General features: G+C 35.8%; 1 protein-coding gene across 16 annotated transcripts in view; it reads right to left on the reverse strand.

The window, feature by feature from the left end:
* Positions 1-20,636, reverse strand: part of IQCM (IQ motif containing M) — a 464,135-nt gene that overhangs the window by 342,693 nt on the left and 100,806 nt on the right. The gene's annotated exons all lie outside the window — the stretch shown is intronic.

Raw genomic sequence — 20,636 nt, forward strand, 5'->3', positions numbered from 1 at the left:
TTTTAGTAGAGACGGGGTATTAATTTCTTTCCATTACTTTCTCGGATACTTTCTCAGATACCGTAGATAATATATACATACTTCCACTAATTCCCACTGTTCTCCTGACCTTCATAAAGAATCCCTATTTCTCCCCCTCCTTCCACACACACACACACAAAAAACAGCATCTCTATTTCAGATTGTAAAAATCGTCTATGTTAAATAGTTAAACTGAACCAATGTATTACTGGAAACTAGTTTTCTATAATTTAAAGCTCAAGCAAACTGGAAATTCAGTGTCAGAAAAGGGAGTGTGTTCCTCATCACAGATATCTGTTAGCAGAAAATTTCAGAAGAACACTGTAGAGGGGATTTTATGTTGTGAAAATAGTTGGGCTTGAAGAGCTTTAAGGTCTCTTCTACACAAAACTTACTACTGTGAAAGTGCTTCAGGCTGGTAAAATCGTTTTCATTCGAACAATGAGAGATTTTATATTTTGTACACTGAATAATCATAAAATGGTTTTCTCACCTTTCTCTCTTTTTAAGACCCACTATTTAAATTTTATTTAATTTCATATGAATTATAATGAAACTTAAAAATTTTAAAGTTTCAAATTTATAGACAGATTCATTAGTCAAGAATGACAGATTGCAATTTACTGACATTTCACATTCTAGTGTGTGGGCTGGGTAGATGTCATATAATTTTCTACTGTTGGAATTTCAAGCACATGTGTGTTATATAGAATGCCAATTCCTCACTAGACTGTGAACTCTGACGGTTTCTTGAGGACAGACATTGTGTTTTTATGCATCCATCCATTTATTCAATCATTCATTCAACAAATATTTACTGAATACCTACAATGTGACAGGCAGTCTGCTAGGCACTAGAAATGCAAAAAAGAACCCAGAGATTATGAAGTTAACATTCTTAGGAATGAAATTAACTACAAATAATTACATAATTCCAAATACAGCGCTATGAAACTTTATTTTCATTATCTCATGAATTTAAAACGAGGAATGAAATGTACCCTTCAGCTTTTGTAATTGGGAGGTCATTGGACAATTTAATGGAAGTAGAAGCAAGATTTCTTTGGGTTGAAGGAATAATGTTATTGAGGTAATAAATGCAGACTCCCTTTTCAAGAGTTATGTGGTTTGAAGAAACAGACAGCAATGAAATGATCACCACAGAAACACAAGTTTGAGAAAGTAAATTATAGTGTCAATATATTTTTAATATGAGAGAAACTTTAGTATGCTTATAGGTTATAGGAAAGGAGAGATGGAGACATAAGAGAGGGCAAATAATACATAATAGATGAGATAGGTTCCTGGCAGAAAACAGAAAGAATGGGATAGAATTCATACCTGAAGAGGCATCTTCTAAAACCATAGACAAGATTTTGGGTGGCTATTAATAAGTTTCCAGTGAGTTCGCCATGAAGACCTTTATTTTCTCTATGAAGTAGGAGGTAAGGTCATTTACTGAGGGAAGCGGGCTGAGATTTGTTAATGGTTGTGAAGGTTTGGGCTAAATAGTAAGTGAGATGGGTAAAAGAATTGCAAAAAGTCAAATGAAAGATTTTTAACTTAGATTACTACTTAATGCAGTCATAATCATAGCTAGCACTTGAAACGCAAACTTTCTCTTCCTATTGTTCAGTTTCTCCACACTTCATAACAAAATGTTTAGACTGGTTGTCTGCATATATTGTTTGCTCTTTCTCACCCCATTTTTTCGTCGCTACACTCCCAATCTACCTTGTACAGTGGTTGCTCTGTGGAAACTGCTCTCATCAAAGATACAATGACTTCCATGGTAGCACACCCAATGAACAAGTATTTGTCAGCTTTTTGCTGAACCTTTACTGCAGCATTCAATGATAATGATTTTCTTTTATGAAAAGATTCCAAAAATTTCTCCTAGATTTCCTCCTATGATGCTGCTTCTCCTTGTCAATTGTCAATCTCTTTTGCTGACTCTCCCTCTTCTATCAGACCTCCAATGAATGAAGTGTCTTCAGCCTGTGTCTTAAGCCAGCCTTTTTGTTTATGTTAACTTCACTTATTCCTTAGGAAATTTCATCCAGTTCCATCCATGGCTTTAAATACTGTTCATACACCAAAGACACCAAAACTTTATTCTCCAGCCCACATCTCTCCTCAAAATTTCAGACTTATGTATGCATTAATTCGTATCTCAAATATAATCTATTTAATGGAACTCTTCCATTAAAGAGACATTTTAATGCAGTTAATAAGTTTAGATGTCTCTTGCTTATGGTCCTTTGAGTTAGCCAGAGCAGTTCTGCTTCAGGCTATGAGTCAGCTGGCTTAGACGCATCAGGCTAGATAGGTGCCACTACCTGGGGCATGGTCTTTTCTTGGTAGATCAAAAAAGTGTAAGAGACAAGATAAACTACTATGTACATTTAAAGTCATTGTCTGCATCATGGCTTCTCATCTTCCATTAGCCAAAACAAGATAGGGTCAATCTCAAATTTAGTGAAGCAAGAAAATATACTCCAAACCAAGGTGGAGGAGGAAAGGAAAGGTGGAACAATAACCCAATCTAAGCCATCATTATCTCTTTCCTAGATTGAAAAATCACTTTCTCTGGTCCATCCTAGAGAATAGAGGCCTGCATATCTTTTAAAAATAGAAATCTGATCATAACATTCGTCTTTAAATCATTCAATGACTTTCTACCACTCTTAAATAAATCAATTCTTTGCCATTACCTACAGGGCCATACATTATCTAACTTATGCCTATCTCTCTCTCAGCTGATTTCACATCACTATCATTTTATCTGCTATTACACTGCAGCCACAATGTTTCCCTTCAGGACCTTGAATAAGTCAAGGTCTGTTCCTCCTCAGGGCTGATTTGTACCCGTATTCAAGAGTTGATTGTTGTGCTGCACCCATTAATGGCACATGTATACATATGTAACAAACCTGCATGTTGTGCACTTGTACCCTAGAACTTAAAGCATAATAAAAAAATAAAGTCATTTCAGAGTTAAAAAAAAAGAGTTGATTGTTAATTATAAGGAATTTTGCAATCCAGATTAAATGTCTGGTAGCCTGAAATCAGCCAGGGTGAGAATATTTATACCCTGGGAGTCAGGACGTGCCATAAATCAGGCTTTTTTGCCCCCTGCAGAACAAATTTACCAGCACACCATTGGTCCTTCTTGTCCTTCAGATCTCAAATCAAATATATAAGTTCCTAAGACAGGCATTCATGGCATTTGCATCTAAAATTTGTCCCTATGGTTAGTCTATTAAATCATTCTATTGCCTTCATTGTGATTATCACTTTTTGTCATTATCTTATTTGTTTGCTCCTTAATTGCATTTTGCCTATCTACTGCCAGCAGAATGTAAGCTTCACTTATTCACAACTATATCATCAATGTCAAGAAGAATGCCTGGCATATAATAGATGTTCAATAAATACTTATTGCATAAATGAATTTCCCCTGGTATGTTATGAGTTCTTTAAGAATGGAAACATTCTTATTCTCTTTCTAACTCACATATAGCATTATAAATCAGAAGCCCAATAAATATTAATTGGATAAATGAAATAATTTATTAGTGTGTTTACTAGGTACAGATATAATGAATTTCAGATTTGATGTAAGGAAGGGGAATAAAGACATCTGTGCTAGACGGGTTGTCTGAATACTTTGTACTTCATTATATAGATTTTTTTCCTACTCTACCTTCATGTAAATAATTATCATCCTCAATTCAATAAGATCATTTAACTAATAAGTTGTTATTGACTATTCTTTTTAGCCATGTGTTAGGGACCATGGAGGTTATAGGGGGAAAAAAAGGAAACATCATTTCCACTTAGCAAAGTTTACATTTCATAATCCCGTAATAGCAAATTTTATATTTCATAATCCCATAATCCCATAATATTGTTCATAATGTTGATTGAACAAATATCTCAGTGACTGGCCTAGCATATATTAGGCACCCAATAAATGTTTGCTGAATAAATGAATGAAACTCAGCCAAGAACTGAGGGCAGAGCTGAATTAAATGCTTAAGAATATAAAGTTCTCTACGATGTTAGCAGAAGAGTTGAAAGTTAATCCATGTTTTGTCAGTGCAATTTAACTTCACCACGAAACTTCAATGTGTGTAGCAATAGTGCAAAATGTACTACAAAAACGTAACTATTTTCAGAAATCTAAAAACATGATAGTAATGAAAAGTAAGATGAAGTTTGCACAACTCTAATAAAGACAATGTAATGAAAACCAATTCAATGTCTTTATGCTAACCTTATATATTTCAGGAATTTAAATATTATCCTCCAGGTAAATATATTGCATTAATTATGAGAGATAATTCAGAAAAGTGGTTAAGAGAGCAGACAGACTTAAGTAAGTATAAATATGAACTTTACAATTTATCACCGGTATGACCCTCAACAAGTTGTATCACATCTGAGCTCAGCTTCGTCTTTTGTAAAAAAGTATATAAGGATAAAAGATTGCCATAAGGATTGTGTAAATGATACATGCAAAGTCTTTAGCACAAGGCCTGGTACATAGTAAGTACTCAATAAAATTAGTGATGTTGATGATTATAAAGATATGAATTTTAATAACATGATATTATGGTCTGTACAACAGATAAGGCAGACACATAACGTCATACAGTATAAGACTATGAGTGCCATAAGATAAAATGATATGAAAATATTATCTCAAATATGTAAACTTTTAGTAATAGCACAACATATTGAAAACAAAATGCAAAGTTATATTGTGCTTTATATTTCCATGACCAAAACTTCTCTATCAACAATTTTCTCCCATGTCAGTTATAAGATACAAAAGTGCTCATCAAGTCTTTGCCAAATTAGATAGTATACACTCTTCCCCAAAAAAGGAAATAATACCAATTATCTACTAGTGAGAAAAGTGAATTTTTACCAAGTAAATACCATGGTCAGAAGCTTAGCAAAATTGCCCAGAAGAAATGTGTTTAGATTGATCTTCCCCGGGTTACCCTCTCCAACAATAACAGATATGGCTACAGTCCAATACCTTTATCAAATCTGAGCCTTTGCTCAGGCTTACTGGGCTCTAGTCCATCTGATGGAAAGATAGAGGCATATATCCCTAGTCAGCCAATCCTGATCTTCCCCCTAAAAAAAGTTAAAACAAGAGTCCAGGAGAAAATTCTCCATGAATATTTTCACATATCTGTAGAGTCAGAGCTTTGTGAGCAAGGAATTCTGGCACCTGGGTTAAAAGGGGTTTGAGTGGCAAAAAAAAAAAAAAAAAAAAAAAAAAGCCATGGAAGTTAAAGACAGAGACCTTGACGGAGATTTAGAGGCACCTCCCCTTGTGCCATTTATTTACTTACATTTCAAAGAATGATAGACCTAGGGACCTTTAGTTCACCACCTGTCTCCAGATTGGGTGTGTTTGCATTTACAAAGCACTTGCTTTCCCTCCCCTTCTGTCTTTCCCTCTATCTCTTTCTCTTTCTTTTCCCTCTCTCTCCCTGCAGCGGAGGAGGGGGAAATGTGCCTAATGCCCTACTTAAGTTCTGAGATTCATAAATCCAGTGTTCCTTTTTTGTGGTACTAACTGCATTATTCATGTAGATAACACCTGCCCTCATTGTGTTGCCCCAAAGAGGACGGAGGCATGGGAAAACTGAGGCAAGATGCTCTGAGCAATCACAATCTGTCTCTGATGTAGAAATCCTGTGTTTCCTGTCAAGATAGACAGATAGGCATACATATAGGCATACACAAAGATTTTAAAACTTAATCTAAGCAGGTCTGACATACTCCTTTCCTTCACAGATAGCCCACATGGAGCTTTGTTAAGAGCTGACTTCCAGAAGTTTAAACTATCTTTAGTCCATCAATTAATCCGGCCCCTTGTAATTGTTCTCCAAGCTTTGAGTTCTCACTCTCTTCTCTGGGCAGCTCCTGATGTCCTCAAATGTAACTCTATCAGGTCACCCCCCCACACATACACACATGTCCCCTGGCTCTCTCATCACTGTGAAAAGAAGGCTGTTCTCGGTACCTTTACGGCTTCAGCACTATTCTCTTTTAGCTCACAGCTGGGTACCTACTGAGCACCTACCTCTAGTGGTAACTATCCTGTTGCAAATGTCTTTCAGGACAAGGATTTTTGAAAACAACTCATTAAAAACATTTATTCTCTCAGGAAATGCACCAAACCATAGAGTGTGATATACTTAAGTCAGGAGCATGGGCATTTGAGTCAGTAGACTCAGCTGCCTGACCGCTTGCCTTGGGAAAGTCACTTAGCCTCTCTGAACTTCTGTTTCCTCTTTCTTAAAATTGGTGAGTGATACTTCTGACCATTATAAATTAGATTGTGATGCATTAAATAAGCTATAAACAACTTATAGAAAGTACTGAGCACTCAAGAAATAGAGAACAGTTACTATTGTTAATATTTTTATTGTGAAGAGCAAAAGAAACATAAAATCATCGGCATCTGTTTTACCTGGCAGGACTCCTGAGTCCACTAAGGATATCATCAGGGACACTGTAGTAGAATTCATCTTTCTTTCCCATCGTATTTGAACTGGAGAATATAGGAGACTTAGTCATAACCCCAAATCCCTCTTTACATGCTTCCCAAAAATGAGGCATACAAATATACAAACTGAGGCTCAGAAACAGGTACATTTATAGGATCACTCTAACATAGGCCCTCAATAATATTTTGAGAACTGAAAGAATTCATTTAACCCCAGCTGGGATACTGTCTGAGGAAACCTGAGAAGGGAGCAGTCATTAGTGGTGGGTGACAGACAGAAATAAAAACCAAAGTAATGACCAAAAATAATTTTTTCATGTGTTGGGGGGAAAACAAAAACATTCATGGAGAAGCCTAAAACACCACAGTCCTTGCTTATAACCATTTAGTAACCTTGACATAGCAAGAAGAATATTCATGTATCATTTTGTTCCTCACAGCATGGGACGAGGTGTAATTACTAGGGCAGGGCCGCTAAACATAGAAAGTGGTAACTTTAAGGCATGAGAGAGTGTTTGAGAATAAAGGTTGTTTTTATTTATTTAATTTTTTGTAGCATTAATCATGTTGCGTCTTGCAATGGTGTTGTCATTTCTCTTGCATGCACACACTGAATTACTGAGCAGTGCTATGCAATGTGTCTCACACGCTCTGGCACTTCCATTTCATACTTCACAGTTTTAGTGTCACTTTGAGGTTTGAAATGTTTCACAGTTATTTGCTATATGTGGGTGCCAAAAAAATCAGCCTATATCACTAAAAAAGATACTACAAGAATAGAAAATGGTTAGAGTCAGATGGGAATTTTTGTTTCATTAACATTCAGAACTTTATCAAGAATCACTTTACTTTTTATCAAAGTCCAATTTATGTTTTACAGATGTATGGATGAGTACAATTATTTTTCTCACCATACAGTTCTTATAAAGTTAAATATAAACTTTTATTGATGTAGATAAGATTCTATAATTAGAAGGAAATTTAAAACACCATACATCTTTTCTAGCCTCACAACTTGTCCATATGCTCCAACATAACAAGCCCAAGAGCCTCAATCCAGTCACTTGATCTAATCCAGTATAAATATTGAGTGAATTTTTATGTATGTATCTCAATGCATGTTTCAGCTTAATGTGTTAAAGTCAATCTATTTAAACAAAAATAGAATGACTTATATCTGCCACAAATATAAAGTCATTACAACTGATAACACACTAAGTAAGATATTCACTGGCTCTTACAAATAATGACACACATGTCACCATCAATTTTTGTAAAGCAATGACACACCTGACGACTTCCTTCATTCTCCCTCTATACACTCACTGATGACTCCCTCACTTCACACACACACACACACACACACACACACACCCATAGCACATTGGCATTTGACCACCTAAATACTACCTGTATTTTTTATTAACTTATTCTGCCCCACAGTCAACCAAAAATCAAATACATAAATAAATGACAATAAACATGTTAAGACCCATAAAAAGAAGCTTTTCACACAGGAGAATGGTCTTGAAGAAACACCTGACATAAATTAAGCACTCAGTAAAGAGTCATCCTTTTCCTCTCCTTATCTTTTCAACTTCACAAGATGCCTCCTCAAGTTCAAATGTCTGGTTTGTTTCAATACAAATAGAAACTGAGACCCACTGGTAAGCATGAAAGGAAAGCAAAAAGAGAAATAAGAAAGTACAGATGGAAACTCATAGTGACATTTTTAGGCATGCTCTGAATAAGATTTTAGTATCTGAAATTATTTTCCTCAGACAATTTAAAAGAATTTTTCCATCTTAGGAAGAGGGAATTTATACTTACAATTTTGGCTATCTGAAAGATTACAACTAATTACTGGAAAGTAAGAGAGTAACTTTTTTATCTGAGGGATCCTGCTCTTAACAGAGAAACAAATAATGACTAATTATGCTAACATGTTGACAGCACTGGTAAAGGTTCAAAAGGCCTACTTGAGTTTCAAATATTCTGACAAGAAATCAGAGTAATTCTGCAAATGTGTGTGTGGGACAGCCAACCTGCCACAAAATGCACGTAAGAAAAGCTGATCAAGACGGTATACTAACATAGCTTGCTTTGTGTTATCAACTTAATCCAAATGCTAAGTTGACAAGGCCACACCAAATGTGCAAAACTGTCTTCATTATATTTTACATTTGCAACTTTCTCTTTAAATGCATACATACTTAAATGTTTAGCAGCCACAGATAATTCATACAACTTCTTTAGTACAAGAATAAAAGTACTCTACTAGAAAGCAGAGACATTCTGCTCTAGATTTACAATAGCCCAAAGGTACTAAAACTATATCAAATGGGTTTATGGAATTAACAAAAAAGTTCTTAAAATCAATTAATTCTTATTCATGTTAACATTAAAATTAGTACTTCCAGTGGCATGTTTAGGAGTAGATTGTTTGGAGGAGGGCTAGGAAGAATGGATAAAAAATACACACAAAATCTCATAACTATCATAACTTTCAAAAAAAATGGTTGGGAAGTGTTGGTACAGACAATAGGCCAACATCTTGAACTATGGTCTCTATACAGACCAATAGGGCTTTCAGGCTACCCTGTTTACTTTTTATTTAGTTATGAGCATGTTGCTCTTTGCATATCAAACATACTGTCAGACACTGCAGGGTTAACAAAAGCTATAAAATATATAAAATACATGGTCTGAGCCATCAATAAAATTAGAGAATAGTATCTTATACAGAATAAGAATTTATTTTAACAATATGTAGAAAGCAGTAATTCAGAATATTCTTGTGGCTGTCAAAGGGAAAATCATTACTACTAAAGGGATAAATGAACTAATGGTCAAATGCTTAGTAGCTGAGACAGTTTCCCCAAAAACTGTTAGAACAGTAAAGACAGTGAGAATTAATAAGGTTCTAACGTTCTCTAGAACCCTTTCACTATTTCACATCTCATACTCACTGCTCCGTATACTAAGAATTCCTTTCACTTATACAAGCACAGGAGTGATATATTCCAAATGTATGGTCTTTGTGAAAAGTGTGAAAAGGTGGAGCAGGAGCCTCCAATTTTCTAATCTTTTTTGCATACTGCTATCACTAAAAAAAATTTTCACCAGCTACCCCAATATATGTAAAGTAATTTATCTTATTGCTTGTCTTAACATTATTTATCTTATTATAAACTATATTCCTATTTTACTTTATTAACATATCACATACACTATAAAACTAACACTGAAATACACACTGTATTCAGAAGATATAGAAAAAATATAAATAGAAGCTTCTTCCTACACAATCATGTATCATCTTGCTCAACCCCTGGAATAAACACTCCCCATATGATACCAATGGGTTAGAACAGGGATTGGCAAACCACGGTCTGGGCCTAATCCAGCCCATCGCTTATTTTTGCAAATAAAGCTTTATTGGTACACAGCCAACCAACTTGTTTACCAATTGCTTCTGGCCACTTCCTTGCCACAAAGATATGAATAATTGTGACAGAGATCATACGGCCCACAAAGCCAAAAATATTTACTATCTCACCCTTTACAGAAAACGTTTTCTGACCCCTAGATTAGGATTAATTTCAGGGTACTTATGAAGGAAAAGTTCTCCGGACAGAGTAATAAGGCTGAGCATATGAGATGGAAAAAAGAGAGGCAGAAGAGATAAATCTGCCAAGAATGCCAACAAAGTTGCAAAGCAGGTGTGATGATTAATTTTATGTGTCAACTTGATTGAGCTAAGGGATGCCCAGATAGCTAGAAAACATTATTACTGTGTGTGTCTGTGAGGATGTTTCCAGAAAATATTTACATTTGAATCGGTAGACTGGATAAAGAAGATCCATCCTCATGAACATGGATAGGCAACTTCAGTCCATCAAGTAGTCAAATAAAGCAAAAAGGCAGAAGAAGGGCAAATTCTTTCTTCTAGAGTTGGAATGTTCATCTTCTTTTGCCCTTAGACATGAGAGCTGCCCTTAGACATTCTGAAGCCTTTGGACTCTGACTCCAGAACTTACACCCCTGGTTCTAAGGCCTTCAGACTTGGACTTACAACACCAGCTTTCCTGGTTCTCCAGCTTGCAAACAGCATATGGTGGGACTTCTCAGCCTCCATAATCACATGCTAATGATATAATTCCCATAATAAATCATATATATCTATATTATACATATTATAAATATATAAAAATATATAAAAATAAAATATATTTATATATTATAAATATATAAAAAGAAACATATATATCCTACTGTTTCTTTTTATATATTTATAAAAATATATAAAAATTAGGGCTCTGGAGAGCCCTAATACAATAGGCATAGGAGTAAAATTTTCTACCAGGATACAACTATTAGAGTAGGGCTGACTATAGCATGACAGGGTACAAAAACGGAACTTTAATACCAGTAAAAAGAAAACATAAGTCAAAAGGCATAGACAGCAATAGTTGTGGCATTATTTTTTTAACTGGTGTTTCTAATAACACCTCCATCAGAGGGTAGGTATCTCTCTCCATTACAGCACGACTTGAGTTGGCATACCTTTTATATCCATTTTCCTACTTGCCATAAACGTCAAAATAGGCCCAAGGAGATATTTAAGATATCAATAGGCAAAAATTATAATTTAACATAAATAATGAATAGCAAAGATTCGAATTCAGTATCTCTCTAGCACACATATACCTGCACACACATAATTCTAGTACTGGCACCTTCTAGTAAATATCATAGTATTCCTTTGGTCATGAAAGAAGGTTTTAAAAATATGCTACTAAAAATAATTGTTGGGTTATGGAGAGTTAAGGCTTTCAGTCACCAATACTTTCTGTTCTTTCTGAAGTTTTATTATATTTAAAGTCAATGCCAAAGATTGTAGCATTTAGTTATTCTCCTATATTAGTTTTGACTTCCCAACTGGAGAAGACACAAATAAAAAAAAAAATTCTATATCTTTGTATGCCCCATGTAACTTGGTAATATACAGTACTCAATAAGTAATTATTAATTGGTTCTCCAGAAGTCATGTACAAAATACACTGCTACATGTCAAATCTAATTTTCCCATTGCTTTCATTGCAAAATAGGATATTCTTTTTTAAAAAAGTTTCAAGATAAAGTAGAAAAAACAGTGGACTAGGAGTATGCAAATCTACTTCTAGTCACAATTCGTGTGACAAACTAGCTTTGTGGACTTCAGCATATCACTGAATCTTCTTTATTTCCATTTCAGCATAATGATGGGTTAGAGCAGCTGATAATTAATATCCCATTTAGCTCTGAAAGTCTATGTGACAAAAATCACATTTAAGGATATAAAAAAATCTTTTAAAACCACACTATTCAGGTAAGGTATTGCAAAATGGCAGCAAGAAGGTCAAAGCCAGAGGCAGACATGGATTTGGGGGGCATGTGGTATTTAGGAAATGTTAAATCAGAGTGTGTCTAGATGGCTGTGCTTTCTCTAGATTGCCATAGACTCCATTCCTTCCATTGATCACATCAGCTATTTCACACATTGATGTTACCTGCTGATCTTAGAAGAGCATTTGAGTTTGGAACTCATGACTTATAAGGAATTATAATTCTGTTATTTTGATAGCTAAGTATTATCTTGTATATGTAAAACAGAAGTCCTATTGTTACTAAACCAAACTTGAGAACATATAATGTGAAGGTAGTAAGCTTCTACCAATATCCTTTAATTCTTTTTCTTTCATGATGTAACGTAGCATAATTACAAGAATGCTGAATTTTAGATATTAAAACAGTGGGTTCTGGTCTTCTCTTTTCTACTAATAAGACCTGTGACCTTGAGTGGAAATTCACTGAGGCTCTCTGGACCTCTCTTTTTTATTCCTAAAATGAAGGTGGAATGGTTAAATTGTGAGTCTAATGTACATTTTATTTCTACAATTCTACAGTTCTAAGATAACAGGCAATTTCATTGTTTTGAGTCTATTTCCTAGAATTTTGTGAAAGGCCTTTAGAAATAAACAGATTTTTCCAAGCTAAAGGAAGAAAAGATGTAGGAACACAGTAGACTGACAGAATCAAAAGACAGCAAAGATGAACAACTTCAGGAAAGGAGTGCTCATTTCCTGAAATGTAGAGAGCAATAAATAAAGTAATGGAAAAGCTCTCACTAAAACATGGAGCCAACATGGCTTGAAAATTCTTTAGCAGTGAGGTAAACTGGCTAATGGTAGTAGCATTAGGCTATGAACTAAGAATGCTATGCTGCAGTGCCTGCCATGTCATTTATTTGTGATTTTAGCTTCTTATTCAAATACACTGAGCCTCAACTTCCTCACTTGCTAAAAACAGGGAATAATAATGCTTTGAAACTGCAAATATATGTGTATAGTTGTTATGCATGTTACAATAGACACATTGTTTATAAGATATGAGTTCCTTAGTGTTGGAAGAGGCTATCCACCATGGACCCGGAGCATCCCTGAAATCATACTGGGTCTGCCACGAATGTGAGGCTCTGGACACTCTTTGCTCTCTATCCAGGCATTTTCTCAGGGCATCCTTGAGGAATGAAGTAACATCTCTCCCTGGGACAAAGAGCGAGCTTGCTCTAAAAGTGATAGACTCCCCAAGCTCACATCTCTCAACTCTAACACAAATCTACTATGTATGCAGCATCTACCTGAGCCCTCTATGTTGCTTCCAGTGGACTTGGGGGAAACTGACATGGATGGAAAGCTCAGCCTACATGTTGTACTATAAGTAATAATGTTCTTGTCTCTAATGAGTCCTGACTGTGTCTTCTGCCTATACCCATGAAACTGGCAGCACTAACTTTTTAGCTTGTAAATATGGGGAAATTCCAGACCCTTCAGAGACCCTATGGAGAGGCTTAGTAAATGTATGATTGTTAGGTGAATGCAAATTAGTGTATTTCATATGTATTTCATTATCTTTTCTTGGTAGAATAATCACAGTTCTATATTTTCATCTAGAACCAGGAAGACAATTTGTGTGATGTTTGCAATCTTCCTTCTTCCAGTCCTCACAAATTGTCATCTGTTGCATAATTCACTGCACTATCATCAACAACCCACTCTGCCATCCACTCAACATTTCTGACAAATGCCAGTACTTCACCACCTTTCTTCTTTATCTTCACACAGTCAGAATGTTTCCCACGTTCAAGCTAAAGACTTACAGCTTTACTACTAAGGTTCTTCTGATCCTGAGCTGATCCCAGATCTGCTACACTAATTGTAAAGCAAGTTATTGTAATGTTATCCAGCACCAAAATATAAAATATATTCTCCTAGTGGAAACTTTACAAGTTATACTTATATCCCTAATTGCACTTGAAATTGCTACAAGAAAACAAAGCTGAAAAGACTGTAAAATTGCTTAGGATCATAGACAGGAACTTGAAGATTTAAGTGCCACCTCTACTATATTTTGTCAGAATGTAAATATAATTGCAGGTGCCTAGAAAAAAAAAAGACAAGTATACCAATAAAAAATCTTACATGCTGAATACTAGGAGAGCAATAGCACTTCTATTATAAACCATTATATGTGATAATTGCCTTTTGAGAAATAGGGATAAAGATATTATCACTAACAGAAAGGCTTTAAAGAAATGCAAATTCCTGATTAGGATCATTTTCCAGTGAGGTAAACAGCTCTTTGTACATGATTATTTCTCTCCAGCTCTTAGCTTTCCTCACATTGTATACTACTGTTTGTTTTAGGTAATATATCTCAAACATCTTGACATACTTTCTCACCTTGCATTAGGAGTCATATTTTTTCTATGCCTAAAACTAAGTCTACATGAAACGACAAAGGATGCTTGCCAAACTATAATATGTTGTTTGTCCTCAAATGAATTTGGCACTCTTTTTATTGTTTATCTACATAAACTTGCCAATGGTATTAACAACCAGACAGAACAGGAATCTGACTCATTTGCAGCCAATTACAAAGCTCTAGGCTGTAAAGCTGACCAGTTTTTGTGACTCATTGCAAAATCAGAAATCAAGGTGAAATAGAGGATAGAACCTGGCCCCAATGCTAATTAAAACACTTTACTTCCCAGTATATCTGATGACAAAAACATGTGTCACAGTTGTTTCATAGCAGTTTATTAAGTAGTTAAAGTTTTATTAACTCTTTAAAGCCATAAGAAACACTAAACTCTAAAACCACATAATGTACTTGGGTATCAACGTAGCTTGAACATGGTCACATAAAACTAGAACATTAGCTTTCAGATAAACTCCAGGTAAATGTATCATACTAAGCGTTAGATTCTCTGCCAAATGAAAGTAAGGTTTAAATACAAACTGTTGGTTGAAGAGAAATAAAGGAAGAGAGAACATGTAACCCACCTGTATTTCACAGAAAATTCTCTTTTTACCAAAGCACTTTGTGCCTGCTTTACCCTGATACAGGATCATCTGCTTTTCTGTATGAGCATATATACTCTTTTGAGTCTTTCAAGGGGTCATCACTAATGTGTCTGGTATTTTATAGTTTATATTATGTTTTCACACAAAAATCTCATTTGATCCTCACAGCAATATAGTCAGCAGTTATTTTTATCATCAGCACTTAACAACATAGGAAATGGAGGATCCAGTATATTAAATAATTTGGCCAAGATATTTCAGCAGGAGAACCAGACCTTGGTGTTTGATCTTTAGTCCCTAAATCCCAGATTCTTTCTAAGTAGATGCAGTGATTTTATTAAGTGTGGCACATTTAATTAGATTCCCATTATCATCCAGGAACAAACCATCATTCTGGACTATGTTCACAGCATGGATGCACAAATGCAAAGTCTTGTTACTCATCCTCTCCAGCCACAGAAGCTGCTCCTGCAAGGAGTGCAAACATTTTCTCCTGGAAGGAATGTTTACTTCAGGGCAACTAACACAGGAACAAGTCTAGGAAGATATAAAATTCACTACAGTTTCAAGAAAGTAAAGCTTGCAGGCCAACCAAAAAGGGAGTGCAACCTCTTATAACAGTGAAAATCAACTCTTTGAGAGTAACATTCTGTTTTCAAGGGAAAGAATGATCCAAATTTAATGTCTGGACTATTAAATTATCTGTAGGAAATAAATGACTAGAAAAGTTATACACTCATTTGATTTTATTGCTGATGTCATAAAACTCTTTCTAAATGTAATTATGCCCTATAAGTAAATAAAATCAGTTGTAAGAGGCAGCTCTGAGCAAATTAGGGTTCTAGTTATTATCTTCTTTCTTAAATAAGGCAAAAGCACTGTGTACAAATTAAAATCAGGCTTCACTTAAAAGCCAGGCAAAGAAATGCCTTGCAAGTTGTAAACCCAAGGCCCAGCATTGGGTCCTAGAATTCTAAATGTATAGTGTCTATTCACTTCTAACTATTCACAGAACAATTTTATCTAAGAAACTGTCTAGGAGCTCCAAAACAAACTTTATAGCCATTTTGGACAATTCATCGTTGTTGGCCCAGCAAAGTAATCATGCCCTCACCTTCTTTATAGAAACAGGCAATCCATGCCCATATTCTTGTTGCTCCTCCCATTCAAGAAAACCATCTGTGCTCCCATTAATAAATGTGGTATTGTTAGAAAGACTCTCCAGGTAGACGTAGGAACCGTCACTATTTTCTCAATAAAAAAGTGACTGACAAAGCTCATCCCAAAGCTAATATTCTAACCTTTAAAATATCTGTATAACACTAGCTCTCTATTTATTTTTACTAGCAAAACTATATTTGTTTCCTGGAATTTCTTGAGCTCTCCAATCTATAGCACAATACACTTAGGTGCCATTTCTTTTCTGGTGAAGTTTCTGAAATTCATCAGGTCTTTGTAGCTTTGGTCAGAGAGGAAAGTGGAGGGAGTAGCAGTAGTCCAATATTTCACTACTAACCCATACAAGAAATCAGAGCTGAATCACTTAGCCATAACCACTCTCCGGCATTTTTTGTCTTCATCCATAGAACACATCTGTGAGGACCTGCTGAAAATGACACAGACACTTGGGGACATCTTTGGAAGAAGCAGGAAAGTACTCAATTGCTACAGGATATAACTGGCAATAGGATAATTTATTATCTAAGAATAATGTTGGGCACTTTAAATGCCACCTTTCTTCTGAAAGCTTATAGTTCTTCATGAAAATAAAAGTTTTTCCAAGCAGCTAAGGCTAGATCAGTTTTATAAGGCATACTGAGATGCTAAGAAGAAAAGCAACTTGCTCAAGGTTATACAATAATTTGGAAAAAGACTAAGAGTCACTTCCATACTCCCAAGGCACTTGAGAGACCCTCATTCCTCCACATACCCCAGTTACTCAAGAAAGAGGATGTAGCACACTGTATGAATTAAATGAGCGAAAGCTTTAGATTCAGAAAGACTAAATTCAGATTCAAATCCTGGTTCTGCCATTTACTATTTATTGGTGACAATTTCAGCATGTCTCTGAGTCTGAGTTTTCCTGTCTGTAAAATCCAACTAATAATATGCAAATCTTGCAAGATTTTGATAATGCATGGCTTAATATACTGACTGATAAGTAGGAGATACTCAATACAGGCCAACTTTTTTTAGCTGCTCTGTCCTATTCTCTATAAATTGGCTTTCAATAAAGCAGTGGAAGCATTTTTGGGTTTTTAAAACCAAAAACCAGTTTGCAGAGATATAAGCACATTTTTGAACTTTCATAAAATAAAAAAGCAAAGGTCATTTGCTTACAGAGCTACAACCAGCTATTCCAGTCTATTTTTGAAAGCTACTTAAAGGCCATACTTAGCAGTTGAGTATAGTTGGACACCAGAAACTTTGGCAGAAACTACCATCAACTCAGTCACATTGGTAGTACTTATGAGCACCTGTTAAATGTGATGATAGCATGTTATATGTCTTTGTGAATGCCTCTACAGTAAGCATATAAAACGCTTTTTTGATCCATCTTCACTAAGTATATTCAGAGTACTCACTGGGCTTCTGGAATAGTTTAAAATATAAAGTGTCTCTAAAATAATGTTTTGATTCATTAACTGCAATGGGACCAAAACCAGAAGGATTTGGCAGCAGGCTTGTTCCCCTGGTTCTTAGGCTGCTTCAGAGCAGTGCCAGCTTAGAGAAGGGATGATCAATGTCTCACATTCCACACTTTAGGCACTAATAGATCCTTGGCTCCAGGATTCCAGGGTTCAGAGGGAATGCCAGAACACACATGCTGTGACAGAATCATTTTGGAAGCATTCATGCAGGCCAGAGAAATTAATAACTACCTTGGGCACTGACTTGCTCAGGCAACAGCTGTTTTGCACCGGACAGTGATTAGGATTGATCTCTTTATCCTGTGCAGATACTGTCATACTGTCAATGTTCACACACACACACACACACACACAACACACATACACACACAGTCTTCTGATATAACTCAGGGATCAGCATAACAGAAGTACCCCCTCCATGGTACATAGATCAGTTTGAAAAACCACCTGGCTTGCTTAAACCTGGCTAGCAATTTACACTTACGCTCATATATTCACTTCACTTCATTATGCAACAAGCATTTATAAAATATATTTAAAATTCTCAAGAAGCCTACTGTTTTCCTATTTAACCACTGAGGATGGAAATACAAACAAGACTGGTAAGGTCTCTGCCTTCTAAAGGCTTACTTTCTAGCATAGAGTACAGATTAGTACATAGACAAACCAATCTGATGGAAGGTGTTTTTCAGGAGTACTTAATACCTCTCCAGAATGGTAATAAGAATATTGAATTCTGCCCCCAGTCATTTTGGAAGATTGTTCATGTCTCAGGAGGCTACTTTCCAAGAAATCCATGTCCCTGGAGTAGAGGACTATAATGAACATTTCTTATTTTTAAAATATTTGGCCTGAAAAATAACTTGCCCTCATATGTTCTGGTACAAATTAACTGCCTAGGTCAGGATACAAATAAGGGGCCTTATCAGGAGAAAATGTCAAAAAGTTTATAAAGATCCTGGCTAGCCAAGACTTGCTAATAGTAATGTTCACTAGCAAAATAACTAATATCAGATGATTAACAATCTAGATGATAATAGGATTTTCTACTGAAGTCCTACTAAAACAAAATATTAAAACATAGAGGCTACTTGAAACAACACTGCTGCTTGATGAGCTCATTCTGAAGCATCCCACTTTCCAATCACCACTTTCTCCTTTCTTCGGGTTATTCCCTATCACCAACAACGCTGGACCCCCTACCAGGCCCTGTGATTCATCGATACTACCACCTTTTTACCCTCCCTTGCCACCTTCACACCTCAGGCAGCTTAAATTCCAAGGTCAATCCTTATGAACACTCCTCTCACAGGCTGATTTTGTTGCCTCCCTCTTATTTTGTCATCTTGTTTGAGAAAACACAAAGCCCTAGTTAAATGTCTTTCTATCCACCCTGTGGTGTTTGTACTCTGCATAATTAATGTGATGGGAGAAAACAAAACCATGACTGGTCTCATATAACACTAACACTAACCCAAGTGGACATTACTGTTATCCAGTAATCATCCTCCACTTCTCAGTCCATTCACTCTCCCGTCTGTATTTCATATTTTCTCTCTTTAAACCTCTAACACTTCCCCCTGCCCTTACTTTCAGCTGCTTTTTTTGCTTCCTATTTCATTGAGAAACTAGAAGCAATCAGAAGAGAACTTCTAAAGCCTGTGTCCTGAGAGTATCTGTTCCCATACACTCCATGTGCCCTCTCATTACTACAGGTGAAAATATTTTACATTCCCATCTAAGGCCCAACCCCTGTACTTATATTACAACAGCTCTCATCCACTCTCATCTTCTTATAGATACTGTTCCAGCAATTCTTCCTTTTTCTTCCTTCACTTGTGATTTTCCCTCTCCTCCTAATTGTTTCTATCAGTATAAAAATATATTGACATTTCTCCCATCTTAAATAAGGGGAAAAAAGAAGTGCTCTCTCTTGATCTCACCTCCCCCAACAGTCACCTAATTTCTGTGTTCTTCATAACTATTTGCAATAGTTATCCATATTTATCTAATTTCTCTCCCTCAATTCTCTTTTGAATTGATCACGCTACTAAAATAGTAGGTGTCAAGGTCATCGTTGACCTCCACAGTGCTAACCCCAATGTCAATTTTAAGTCTTTGTCTTCCTTGATCTGTAAGCAGAATCTAACACAGTAGATCCAACACTCTCTGCTCCTGGGAAGACAATCTTCACTCAGTATCCTGCACATCTCAGTCTCCCATTTTTTGTTTTTTCTTCCTCACTTGCTGCTCCTTCTCAGTCTCTTTGTTAGTTTCTCCTTATTTCCCTAAAATCTAAATACTCCACAGCTTACTACTCAGACTTCTCTAACTCCCTCCCATGATTATATCATAGTCTCATGGCATTAACTACCATCTATAAACTGAGGTATCTCAGGTTGATAACTGATACTGGTCCTTTCCCATGAACTCCAAATCCAGATATCCAACTCTCTATTCAATATCTCCATCTAGATATCTAACAAACATTTCAGACTTTATATAGTAGTACTCCCTTATCTGAGGGTGGATACATTGAAGACCCCTAGTGGATGCCTGAAACTGTGGGTAGTACCAAATCCTATATGTACCATGTTTGTTCCTATACATACATACATACCTATGATAAAATTTATTTACACATTAGGCACAGTAAAAGATTAACAACAATAATAAAATAGAATAATTATAATAATATGCCAGCATCGCTACTCTTGCATTTTGGGACCATTATTAAATAAGGCAAGGGTTACTTGAATACAAGTACTGCAATATGGCAACAACCAAGCTGATAACCAAGACAGCTACTAAGTGATTAAATGGATGGGGCACATATATAGTGTGGATATGCTGGAGACAGGGAGGATTCTTATCCTGGGTGGGATTAATTGGTATGGGGCAAGATTTCATCTCCCTACTCAGAAGGATGTATAATTTAAAACTTATGAATTGTTTATTTCTGGAATTTCCCATTTAATACTTTCAGACCACAGTTAACTTCACGTAACTAAAAGTTCAGAA

Source organism: Homo sapiens, chromosome 4, assembly GCF_000001405.40.
Source record: "Homo sapiens chromosome 4, GRCh38.p14 Primary Assembly".
NCBI classification, from domain to species: domain Eukaryota; kingdom Metazoa; phylum Chordata; class Mammalia; order Primates; family Hominidae; genus Homo; species Homo sapiens.